General features: G+C 41.9%; 1 annotated feature.

Moving 5' to 3' along the window:
• Positions 8,670 to 12,211: an enhancer, noted in NCBI's record as "VISTA enhancer hs1465". NCBI's record gives its function as "enhancer in: somite[9/9] | limb[9/9]" and the evidence as "EXISTENCE:transgenic organism evidence [ECO:0001131][PMID:17130149]".

The following is a 13,621-nucleotide window of genomic DNA, read 5'->3' on the forward strand; positions in this document are numbered from 1 at the left end:
TAACTCAAGCATCTGTTCATCTGAACAGCTCAGAAACATCCCCAGATTGTGCCAGCTTCCAATTTTAAATACAGTCTGGAGCGATGCCCCGGGAACAGTGCTGCTGGATTTTCTGTGGCAGGCACTGGCCACCTGTGTTGCCTGAGGCAAGTTTGTAACCTTTCTGTGTCTCTACTTCCCTCATTGGGACAATAATAAATAATTATAGAATCCACCACCTCATGGGAATTGGGTGAAAATTACATTAATATTCATAAAGGTCTTAGTGCCTGACACACAGAAAGCAACAAAAAATTTTTTTTACTAAGTGCACTGTTTGCCTAAATAACTAGAAATTCCTTTTTTCTAGAAAGCAGACTATTTAGGCCTCTTGAGGCATTCTCACAAAAGCAATTTGGTCCACATATTATTGATAAGTCAATGTCTCTGTGGGGACATGAGGGCCTGGGGTTTCCTCTTCTGCCACCTTGCTGATGTCGCTTGCCATATCTAGACCTCTTTAAATGCTTGCTTTCTTGCATTCTGGGGGAGGTTATGGGATTACTGTCATGCCCATAACAGGCACCCAATAAATAATTTTGGAATGAATGAATGAAGAAAGAATAGACTGTGATTTCATTTTTAAATAATGAATGGGGATGGTGGTGGGAGAGGGGGTAGTGTGTGTGAAGAGTTGAGGCACAAGTACCTCCTTTAGCACCCCACTGAAAGTTTGGATTTTCACCAAGGAGAAAAACAGAATTCTGAGCCCAGTGACCCAGGAAAGAGGCTTTAGTGACAAAGCCAGTGGCAGCTGACAGAAATGGAGACAGCCATCCTATAACAGAAACAACAGCCCCTGGGAATCAAGCAAGCTGTTTATAAACTTTGGCTGTCTCAAAGATTGTGTGACATCTCCAAGGTCAAGAATCCCCCTCTGGAGACAATGGCCATAATAAATAGAACTTTCCTCCCAGGGTCTTGACCCCACCATCTATTACGTTGGCCAAATCTCGTATCACCTTGAACCTCAGTTACCTCTTTCTAAAAGAAGGATGTTAATTCAGTAGGTTCAGGAAAACACATAAGTATGTCTGTGAAAGTGTCCAGTAATCTGCATAAAACAGAACTAAAAAGAAGGTTCAAAGCATTGTCATATCCGAATTAGAATAGAAAATAGGGTTAGTCCTAAGGAAAATATCCCTAAGAATATTGATGATGTAATACCAGACCAGGCTTTTAAAGGAGACTGTGAAATCTCTATTTGGGGAGAATTTGAAAGAAAGGGGAGGAAGGAACACCTGTTGGAAGGAGTGAGTAAAGTAAAAGGTCCCTGGAGGTTCTTTTTGGCTCTCAGATTCCATAATTCTGTGGCCTCTAAGAACACACACTGTAGTGCCCAAGAAGGGCTGGTGACTGATAAGTGTCACCTTTCCTGTGGTGTCCAGAGGCACAGGCCAGCACTGCTCACAGGTGTGCTGAGATGTGAGAGAGGATGGCATCTGGAAGAAACAGAAAAGCTGCAGACCAGGCTGGCTTCACCAGATCTTGTTTGTTGAGTAATCTCTTTCAGGAGACAGCAGTGTATCCAAGTGCCGTCTTGCTAAAGGTTTTGTAGGGCCTGAATCGTATATAATTTGGGGGCCCTTCTTTGAGGAAAAGATTATGAAATTATACAAATGTCAAAATGGCCAGGCACTGTGGCTCACGCCTATAGTCCTGGCTACTCAGGAGGCTGAAGCAGGAAGATCACTTGAGCCCAGGAGTTACAGGCTGCAGTGAGATGTGATTGCATGGCTGCACTGAAGCCTGGGTGACAGAGCAAGAGTCTGTCTCTAAAAAAAATAATAATAACAATGCACAGGGCCTTGAAAGGGGCCCATGCAAGTGAGAGACCCTGAAACCTAAGCTTCATTAGCTTCCTAACTTACCTTGCCTGCAACCACAGTATTATGATTCCTTTACAGATTAGGAAACTGGGGTTTGGAGAAGTGAAAGGACTTGTTCCAAGTCATGTCATTGATGAGTGGCCAAGTTGGAAATGGCTCCAACACTACAGCTGCACTTACAAGTAGGGTGGAGCCTCTGCTCTCACCTCTGGGTAGGTCTACGGTTGCTGGGGCTCCTATTTCTCTGAGAGGTGTTCACTCCTCACTCTGAGCAGAGTAGTTTAATGCTGAGTATCCCCCTGTATGAGGGTTTCAGAAAACCTGAAGGTTTGCCAGGCCTACAGTGCTTAGAGGTTTGATTATGGGAGCCTTCAGTGAGGGCAACTGACAACACTGATCATCTGTGAGTGTTAAAAGAAACAATATTTATGGCTATGATAAAAGATGTAAGCATTAATGTCTATGGCAGAAGTCAGGAATGTGGTCACAAAAGTGATCCTAGAATGTTAATGATGCCAGGGACCCTGTCCAATGCCATCTTTCTCCAACTCAAGATGAAAACTGAGGCCAGGGAGATTAAGTCAGTTGCCCTAGGTCACAGAGATTCCAGTGCCAGAGTTGGAACTAAGAATCTACTGCTGGAATTGCAATGCTTTGTTGCCAACATCCTTACTGGGGCTCCAATTCTACAAAATATTCTTTATTTACTCCCTAAGCAAGGACAGTAATGCTGCTTTCAAGAGTTGAACACTTAACCATGAATTTTGATTTTTGCTTTATTTCAATAATAAACAAAACACTTTCCATGTATTTTTTTTTATTCTACAAAATGCTTGGGGGAAAAAAATCTCCTATCATGATTCTTGCAAAAAAAGTAATTTTCCACATTTACATTTAGCTGATTAATGGTACTGCCTGGTGCTTTCTATTGTTAAACAAAGAGTTAGCCCAGTTAGGGGTGTTCGTGAAAAGAAAGTTTCCATGCCTGAACTTCCACCTTGGTGTCACTGAAGGATATATTTTCACGCATTTTAATTGACTTTTGGAAGATTGTTGCCTATAATAAGATTTAAGATGTCCCATTTCCAATAAGCTGGCTACATTGTTCCCACAATTCCATGCCAATAGATGAAGTTTATTGCTGGTGATGGCCACTTTCCCTCCCATTTCCTGTCTTTCTCCTCATTTTTCTACTCTGGATACTTCCCCAGCTACTGAGAAAATGTTCAAAATGGTCCTCTAAAACTATGGTGCTCAATAGAACAACTCGCAATGATGGAAGTGTTCTCAGTTGGCACTGTCCAATATTGTAGCCATTAGCTATATGTGGCTAGTGAGCCCTTGAAATGTGATTATTCTGACTCAGGAACTAAAATTTAAATTTCATTTTAATAAATTTAAAATATAGTCATGTGACTAATGGCTACCATATTGGACAGTTCAAATGCAGAATATTTTCATCACTGCAGAAAATTTTATCAGACAGCACTAAGCTAAAGGGTCTACCCCTGAGCAAAAGCGCTGAGACTCTACCCCATGTCTGACCCTGAGCTGGGTTCATTATTTGGGCTGAGCTAAAAGAGAGGCCTCCAAGATGGCTTGGTGTGCAATTTCTGGGACTTAAGGATACAATGAGTTCGGGCAGGGTGGAGGCACTGTATTGGTTCCTATACAATCAAGCTTTGGAGTGTATAATGGAGAAGAAAGCTTAGAGACCTCTAGTTGTTGCCCCTCTTTACAGACAGGAAAACTCAGTGGCAGTAAATTAGTCGCTTGGCAAAAGTTAACACAAAAGTTAATAATTGAGCTTGTCTGCTAATTCCCAAGCCAGTCCTCTTTTCTAGTTGGGTACAGACCAGTGTTGGAAGACCAGGGCATGTCATTCTTTCTTGTATTACTTCAGCACATCCATATTGTGTATTTCCCCTGTATGAGGATTCTTTTGTTTAGGATGGACAGGGTGGGAGACATGAGCTGCCTCTTGGTGGAGGAGAAAGGTGTGTTCGTCAGCTTGCCTCAAAGGGCTGTGCAGGGATGGGATAGGGTGACCAAGCCTTACCTGGGACTGACTCAGTTTTAGCACTCAAAGCCCCCATGCCAAGAAATCTCTCAATCCGAGGCAAATCAGGATAGTTGTTCCACTGATACCAATGATAATGTCACCAATCTTCCAAAATTCAGATGAAGCAAAGAATCAAGGCAAGTTGCCAGCCATGGTGATATGCACCTGTACTCCCAGCTACTCAGGAGGCTGAAACAGGTCGATCACTTGAGCCCAGGAGTTCAAGTCCAGCCTGGGTAACCTAGCAAGAGGTCATCTCTAAAAAGAAAAAAAAGAATCAAGGCAAGTCTAACATTTTGGTGGGTGGCTTATGCCTTTGCTTTATAGATTCAGAGAAAAAGACGTTTCCTGGTACTTTTCCCTTCATCTGCATTCAATTGTTCTCCTCAACCAGCAACCTTAAAGCAGCACTGCTTTTAAATGGACCATGTCTCCTTGCAGAACATTACATCTTAAAACATACCTTTAAAAGACCATAACATGATTTTAAAACAGAGATATGGAGCGATTAATCCACAATGTAGGACTCTGTTCTGGAGGCTGAGACCGGCTGTTACAAGGTGAAGGCATTTATACAGTCGTCAGTCATCTGCACCAAAACCTGCTTTAGTGGAGGTCTGGGGATTTCTAATGGCCTCTTTAAGAATGCCCTGTTTCCACTCGAATCACTCCTAGACAGAAATATTATTCAGGTACCCATCAAACACCTGGCTATGACATCAATTAGCCAAAGCCCCAGAATGAAGGAGTCAGCAGAGGATACCAGACAGAGTCCCAGGTTAGGAAACAAGAATCTGGGTTCTAGTTTTAATTCTTCCATTAGATAGGCTGTGTGACCTTGGGAAAATCACTTGAACTCTCTGAGACTCAGCTTCCTCATCTGCAAAGGGAGATACCAATGCCTGGCCCAATTGTTCTCATGGGGAGATTATGGGGAATCAGTGAAGTAATAAATGTGAATGTGCTTTGAAAAGTTTTGCACCAACCTTGGTTTGCACCAACCTCAGTGCAAAAGAAATTGTGTTTTTGCTATTCCTTTTGCACCAACCTAATACAACGACAAGATACATAGTTCAGGGCCTCTGATAGATGAATCTGAGCTTTGGAAATGTAACCATGAGTGGAGATGAAGCACAATTACAGGGCAGGGAGAACCAACCTTCACTTAAATCATCCACCTCCCTGAAGGGTGAGAAAGGGGTCATATAAAGGCAGAAAAGAAACAGCAGAAGAAACACTAATCCAGAGAGAACGTATCAAAGGGCTAGAGGAAGTTGAAAAGGCTACATTGTCTCATTCTGGCATTTTCTTCTGTAACAAAGATGTAAAACCTCAAACTGGGTCATTTAAAACAAAATGCCAGAACAATTGCAAGGCCCCACAAAGGCAGAAACACGCACAAGATACATCTATTAATGTGTACTTACGCTGGATATTGTAGTATTGGAATGCATGTCAAGATATTGCTTTCCTGCTATTTCTGTATAGAATACATAGGAGATATCACAACAATTAGATCACTCGCATCTGAAGTGACCAATTAGATCACTCCAATCTAATTTATTTTCCCAGAACATTTTTTACACTGACGGTCCTTGTATTAGTCAGCTACTGCCACAATAATACTGTGTAACAAACAGCCACCAAACCTCAGTGTCTACATGTCAGTCAATACTGATTTTTTGTTATTGAGTCTAAGGCCGGTTCTGATGGTGTCAATTGGGTTCACTTGTGCACTTGTCATCAACCAGGGATTGGGAAGATGTATCTGCTGATTTTGGCCAGGCTCACTCATATGTTTGGGGGTTAGGCTTGGCTGACTAATACAGAACTATGTCTCTGGGAGCTCTTCTATGTGTACAGTTGACAGATAAAATGCAGGATACCCAGTTAAATTGGAATTACAGATAAACAATAGATACTTTTTTAGTGTAAGTATATCCCAAATGTTTGCTGAATCTGGCAAGCCTACCTGTGAGTCTCCCCATCCCTCTAGCAGGCTAGCACAGGCACAGCTCCGTGGCCGGCAGGGGAAGCACAGTGGAACTTGCTTGGTTCTCTGGAGTCTAGACTCGGCTGGTACTTCATTGCCTTCTGTTGGCCAAAGCAAGTTTGTGACTTTGCCCAGCCCAGATTCAAGGACTACAAAGTCACATTGAGAAGGACACACAGGGAAGTTGAAGAATTGGGGCCTTTTTGACAGTCTGCCACAGTTCCTAGTAGCAAAATCACCAACAAAAGAGCTCAGCACAGAATTCTCCAAGAAAATGTCACTTGCCCATTCTATTTTAATATCAAAGATGAGGGACTTCATGAAGTGTTCAGGGCACTTAACTACAGGGGAGAAGACTCAGTTTCTGGTTTGACTTTATCAATCATGTTCTTTGTTTTCTTGGGTGGACTACATCTTCTCTGGGGCTCAGTATTTTCATCTATGAAATGGTAAGTTTGCGCTCTTGGGGCTTTGCAGCTCTAAGATTCAATAATCTTGAATATTTTAACTTGCCTTCTTCCATCATTTCCCTATTGCAAACTCTTCTAGCCCAATTGACTTTATGACTGTATTAGCTATGCTATAACTTAAAACAGCCCATTATGGTCCTCACTGACTGCTCCTATATTCAAAGTAAATTCAATCACCAATACATATCCAACAAAAAAAATGGAAATCTCCAGGCCAAGGGGACATCAGCTCCTGGCAAGGAACAAGACCCTGGAATAAATAAATCTGCTTTGCCCAATATTTCCCCCTCTTGATTTGAAGAGAGACAGTAACCCTTTTTCTGTCATTGAATTAATTTGCTAGAAGTGGCTGTAATTTCTATATAAATCCTGAGATTGTTTCTAATTTACATGTTATATATGAATGTTTATGCATGTGGTGCCAGTCTAATGTTCTCCAGGGATACTCTTGGAAACTGTATGAATCATGTAAACAAAATTAGACTGAAATAAAAAGAATGTATGATATTTTCTTCAGTAGTACTAATTTTTTTTTTAAGTTTGGTTTTCTCCATGATGGTCCTCCTGCTGACTTTAATTATATTTATGGCACAATTATCCTGTGCTGGGCACAGCCTCATGTGCCCACAGCTCATTTGGCGTCTGTCTGGTTTGGGGGACGCCTTGCAGACAGAGGGGTGGTGTGGCTCGTTCACTGTTCTCTCTCGGTGAGGAGAGAAGAGGGGTAGAAGGTGTTAAGGTGGCATCTACGTGGCTGTTTCTCCTTTCTCCATCCCATCTCTCTTTTTTTTTGTTTTTTTTTAATGAGGATGAATTCAGGTCATGGGCGAAACTGCAACCAGGTCCAGGGAACTTCCTCTTTTTCTGGCCTCTCCAGAGCACTATTTGAAGATCATCACTGCTGTTAATTAATGATTTGCCAGCTGTCTGTACTAATGTTATAGGCTTTATGTATGCACACACATCGTACTTTAGTCTGCTTTCACTTAAAACCAAACACAACAAACGTTAAACATGAGTTGAAGTTTCTGGTCTTTGCTTTTGGCAAGAGGTCTGCTTAGCTGAGATGGTTCTTTCTTGTGTCATCACAGGGCTGGCTGTGTGCCCACTTCACAGGCTGGTAGGGATATCTCTTTCTAAAGCTTTGCTCTCCCAGAAGACCCCTTCAGGACCAGCGTTTCACAGGGAGGAGTTGCCGCTCTTGTTTAGGGTTAATAATCAGCTCAGTAGTTCCAATGGAAATGTCACAGCCCTTTTCAGAAAATTAATCTGCTCCAGAGTCCCCTTATTTTTGCCAGGAGGAGGCATTAACATCTCCAGGGGGCCTTGTTCTTATCTTAATCTCATTTCCCTACTTACTGCATATGTGATTGCTTAAATCCAACTACTGAGGCCGATCCCTGCCACAGCTCATCCTAGAGAATGGAGGCACCCGGGAAGAGGAGAAGTTTGGATTGGCCCTTCTCCAAGGTTCCTCTAACCCTGGCATTCAGGACTGTGAAGTGTTCTGCCATGAGTAGCTAACTTTCCATTACTTCTCTTTCAGGCATGGCTTCTCTTAGCCAGTCTACATCAGACCAGGCTTGTCCCTACCCAAGCATTTTGACCATTCCATTCTGAAAAACTAATGAAAAGTATCATCTGCCTATTATAAAGTATAATAATGCAGAGCAGCTCAATTTTTGCTTAACCACTCAACAGTAACAATACTGTCAGATGCAAAGAAAGACAGGAGAAACATGGTCCCCTGGGAAGAAAGGAGAAGCCAGGGCTCTTTATTAAGTACATGCTGTGGGCAGGCCTTGTGCACTGTCCCATTTCATCTTCACAACAACCCTGCATATGTGATCGTTTTGAAACGGCAAACCTGAGACTCAAAGAAGTGAGGTTATCTCTGGTTGAAATGGGCGCAGTTGAAGAGAGTGCCTCATTATTGAGTGCCAAACCAGAAAGGCCCTTCCAGAAACGCAAGAGAGATTGCAAAGAGAGCAGCATGAGCAAAAGCTTAGGTGGATGGTCAGGGGAAGCACATGGAAGATTCTGGGAACAGTTGAGAGCTGGAGCAGCAGGAGAGAACATCCTATAGAAGAATCCAAGTGAAGGAAGGCAGGGATGAATACATGTTCTTGAGGCACAGTGAGGGTGTTGGCCTTATCAATGGCCCAGGTTGGGGTGGGAGAAAGCTGCTGGGCTCCAAAGTCTACACTCCAGACAGTACTAAAATTGGAAGTTGGCCCAATTTGACCACGTCTGAGCTATTTGAAGGGTTCAGAGAAGGAAGCAGTGGTCTTTCTGCCTCTTCGGAAGGGCCCTTAATCTAGTCAGAGGACCCTTCTAGGCTTCCTGGGGCAATCCAATTTAGGACATAAATGTATATGTAAACACTATTTCCAAAAACAACTAGTGATATGACTGCCAACAGTGTGAGTTGCTAGACCCCTCTGGATGCATGAAAGGGAGCACATTGATGATGGCAACAAAAACATCAAACATAACATCATCAACTCTTGGAGGTTTTCCTTATTTCTGAGTTTCTTTAGGACACGACAACTAATTCATTAATTCAGATGTATTTATGTTTTATTCGAATACCCCACATTCACTATCCTACTTATTCATCTGTCTTTATGAACATGAAGGTTTTGGTAAAGATGGGAAAGAAATAAAGGGAATTTGGGGGAGAATATAAGGCAGAAATGCATTTTAAAAGTTTTCCTTTTCAATATTGAATCAATTCAAGAGGAATTCAATCTAGAAGGTCAAAACTAGGTCACATATTCTGACTTCCTTGCACCCACAGCTTAATAATCTAAAAATAGAAATCAATTCTTGTCTGAGAGTTGTGAAGAGCTCATAATTGCTTTAGAGTAAAGCTCGGAATGACTGTGCCTTCTTCCGCCTTCTATTTCTCAGAGATGAGAATATCATTTTTCAAGTCCAAGGCACTGTCAGTATTAGATTGCGTGGTAACCAAGTAGAAAAATCTCTGTTTAAGATGAAATAATTTTCATCATTATACTGTTCAGGCAGAAATGAGACCCCTGCTTTAATGCTGTTATGAAGAGGGCAGATAAATAATATGAACCAATTGTTAGTTAGAAATATTTTCCCTTAAAAAAAAAACAGCATTGGTTTACAGCCTTTTTTCTTCCTGCTGTCACGTTAATATTCTGAATCAAGAACTTGCTTTGATTTTTGCAGAAAACTTGTTGCCCCTTTTCCAGCTCCTGAATTTTCTTTCTCCTTAAATCTCAAGATGTAGATGTGCTTTGAGCTTCATGATATCATGCACTTTAACAATAGGCCTAGTGGGGTTGAATTTGGGGTTCAGTTGCTTTATTAAAATGTTTGCCACTAAAAGGAGCTTTGGACTTCTAGAATACTAATGAATTTTCCATCATGGCTACATACTTTTTTGCATATAAGGCTATTTATAATGAGGACAGCTTTCTATTTTTATTAGCATCTCTTTATAGAAGTATTTAGCCTTCCAGCCATCCACAGTTTTTTAAAACCAATTCCTGAAGTTTTCATGAAACTTTAAAGTACCTATCAAGAGTCTTTTAATGGTAAAGATCAGCCGTAAGATGGAAATGAAAGAGTCCATTAAAATATCATTACAGGAAGAGAAATTCTCTGCCACTTTTTCTTAATTCTACCCAACAGGAATGTAACTGCCCTCCCTTCCCTGGTTCTATCTAGTTATGGCTCCCTGTGAAAATCTGAGGCTGGCACGGGAGGTGTCAGTAGAGACATAGGCACACTGTCCCATCCTCAGGTTCGGTCATGGGTACACACATGCCATGGTGTGCTACCCCTGGCCTTTACCACCTTGACCCTGCATCAGCACTTCTCCATACACCACCTCCTAACATAGTGGGCCCCCTGCCTTTTTTGTGCTCCACTGCAGAGCATCACTGAGTGCTCTGCTGCCGATGAGTGCAGGTGAGTCCTTCTCCACAGCATAGCACACATCTTATGTCTCCCCAACTTTATTTTAAATCAACATTTAACATTTCCACAACCTGATTTCTTTCAGACCAAGCCAACTTTCTTATAAGCCCCAAGTCTGTTCTGTGAGTCCAGCTAATTAGCCTGCCTGTACCAGAAGTACTCACTTTTTATTACCTTTAGAAAACAAAGCCAGGTTTGAGGAAGTGTTGGATGTAAGCTGTCTCCAAAGCCTCAGGAAGGGGACCCCCACCTTCCAAACCCCCTCCTGCTTTCCAGTAAGATTTGTAGTCTGGTTAGAAGGACCATTTAGATGATGAAAGGAACCAGTGGACAGCCCCTGATTTATAACCAGTGTGATTTTTTTTAATATCTACCAAATTAATATTTTTATGTCTGTTCCCCCATCGAGTTGCTTCGGTTTGAATTTCAACGAGGGGAGCCTGCCAAGATCGTGTAGTAAAATACGAACTGGATCATAAATCCCAGCAGGGGTGGGAGAACGTAAGACAGATTGCTAACACCTTAAAAAAAAAAGTTTAAATAAAAAAGGCAGGAATTTTCTTTAAAGTATACCAAGCCCAGCAGGGACTGGGAGATACACAAGGCGGCTGAAGGAGGGAGCTACTTTACCTTCCCAAGATCACTTTTCCGAGAAGCCCAAACCACAGAAAACCATTCTGGCAGGTAAATCGGGCCCCATGAGCTTTTCATCAAAAGCCAAGGATGTCTCTCTGGGATGTGTGTTAGAGATAAGGCAGAAACGTTCTCGAAAGGAGCGCCTTCCAAAAAGTCGAGACTTTCTGCATCCCTCTCTCTGGAGTGACCACTCAAACAGCTCATCAAAGTCTCCTTTCATTAGTGTCAGGCCAAGAGAAATAAATGCAGCTGGCAAGACGGAGCTTGAAGCTGTAAGAAGAAAGCCATGTGTTTCCTTCCTAAGACTAAAATCATTTCCCTATGAGGAATAAAGAGCTTTTACAGACCTTCTGGATGGATATGTCTTGGAGAGGAACAAGTCGATTACTCTCACACCCTCACTGGGCTCCAGTGGGAGAAACAGAAGCCCTTATTTGCTTGGTTTTATAACAAGTTTACTATATTTGAGCATATATGGCAAAGTAAACGCCCTTATAACATAGCTTATTATTACACCGATTTGGATAAACTACAGGTCAAATCATGTCGGCTGAAACATAACTGCTACCCACAGGAGAAGCCTGATATAACTCAGTTGATAGCCTATAAAAGCCATGTTAGTCCCGTCTGTCAACACCAGCATTATAAAGGTGTTTCACTAATCCTCCTCGGTGGAAAACATCAACTCCTCCAGCAATGTTGTCTTCTCATTTCGTGACTTGGCTCTACCTGGGTCTTGGGACACACAATGTGATCACAGGAGCCAATGACCTCCTCGCGGCTATAACGAGGGGCGCCTCCAGCATCACATTCCTCCAGGAACTGAGCATCACTGAAACGCACTTGTAGACCAATCACCCTTGCTAACCACACTTTGCCAAAACACGCTTTGGACTTTTGTTTTACTCAGTCTGGATTCAGAGCCAAAACCATCACCAAGACTTTCAGAAATCTTGTGAGCAGGCAAGTAGAAAGGCACAGCTAGCAAGCAAGCAGATATTGAAGAGACTTACACCAAATTGAAATGCACGAGGAATGCAGAATCTGGTTTTATTTTTTGGTTCACAGATATAAAGGTTTTGAATTTTCCCATTATGACATTTAATCATAATTATCAAAGAAGAATTATCAAGGTGAAGATACTATAGATATAACATACACGTATTTTTAAGGTAATGTTTACTTTTTAGTTTAACAGCCTAAAACTTCAGCACACTCAACCCTCTCACGTAAGTCCCCATAAATGAGACACGAGTTTCACACAATCCCAAAGTAAGTGGAAAACAATTTTTTTTTTTTGCTAGAAAGGACATTAGTAGGACATTTACTGAAGTTCAAACAAGGTCTATAAATTAGAGAATAATACTATAGCAATGTTAATTTCTTGGATTTCATAACTGTACTGTGGTTGTGTAAATGAATTTAGGAAATGTGTACTGATGTATTTAGGGATAAAGTGGTAGAATGTGTACAGTGTACTCCCAAGCCATTCAGAAAAGAAATAAAACACACACACACACACACACACACACACACACACACACAGAGAGAGAGAGAGAGAGAAGGATAAAGCAAACACGGTAAAGTGAGGGAAGCTGAAGAAAAATTTACAGGAACTCTTGGCACTATTTTTGAAATTTCTATGTGGATTTGAATTTATTTCAAAATAAAAAGGTTTTTTTACGGTTTCCCATTAGTGCTCCTGAGCAACCGTTGCTTATTTAAAATAATAGCCTAAGAGAGTATATTTGTAAGTTCCTTTGTTTGCTTCCCCATATCAATCTAAAAGGAATTTTATGTAGGTCTTTTTTCTAGGTAGGTCCTACTTTAGATATCATTTAAACCCTTAATCTTGAAGAAAAACAGAGTAGGGGAGCCAGAGACAAGACTGGCAAGACATGAGTTGCTACCAGTTAAAAGAATGCCCAAAGAAGAAGGATTCCAGAAGCAGAAGACCTGGATTCTCCAAGGATGAAGAGTTCCAGACTCTGGGATATTGACCTCTGTGGTCCTCAGTTTTGTCATCTTTAAAATGAGGGGCATAGAGGCAAGGCAATGTTGAGGACTGATGTGGCATGTTTTGTATTGTAGAATATTTCATTCGTGGTGTCCAGTCGCAGCTCTGCCACCTCCCCCCACCTCAGGTTTACTTGTCTGGAACAATGGTCTCGTGCCCCATGGCATGTGGTAGAAGCCAAGGTCAGCCCCATGTTTTCTGAGCGTCTGAAAGCCTACTGGAAAAGGATCTACTTGGGCAGTTGGAGGGACCTTCTTCATCCCCTTAAGACAAGCCTTGCCCCTCTATATCATTCTTTGGTAATGGAAACATCCCAACCACACTCCTTCCTGCTAATCAAATCCCATTTACATTGAAGGCCTGCTGACATTCATTAGCCCAAACCTGCTTTTCAGAGATTTCCACTCACTTTGAGCTAAACATGTGGACCCCATTCCTAAGCTGAAATGAAGATTTCGCTTTCTTCTTTCTCTTTCAACCAGAAACAGCATTCTGCTGCCGTTGGAAATTGATGCATCTGAGTACAAAGTGTCTGTTCCCTGCGCCTTTCAAACAACACAGTGCCCCAGGCCCAACACCAGCATGCACGAGCACGCATGCGCTCACACTCACACACATTCT

The sequence above is a fragment of the Homo sapiens genome, chromosome 7, assembly GCF_000001405.40.
Source record: "Homo sapiens chromosome 7, GRCh38.p14 Primary Assembly".
NCBI classification, from domain to species: Eukaryota; Metazoa; Chordata; class Mammalia; order Primates; family Hominidae; genus Homo; species Homo sapiens.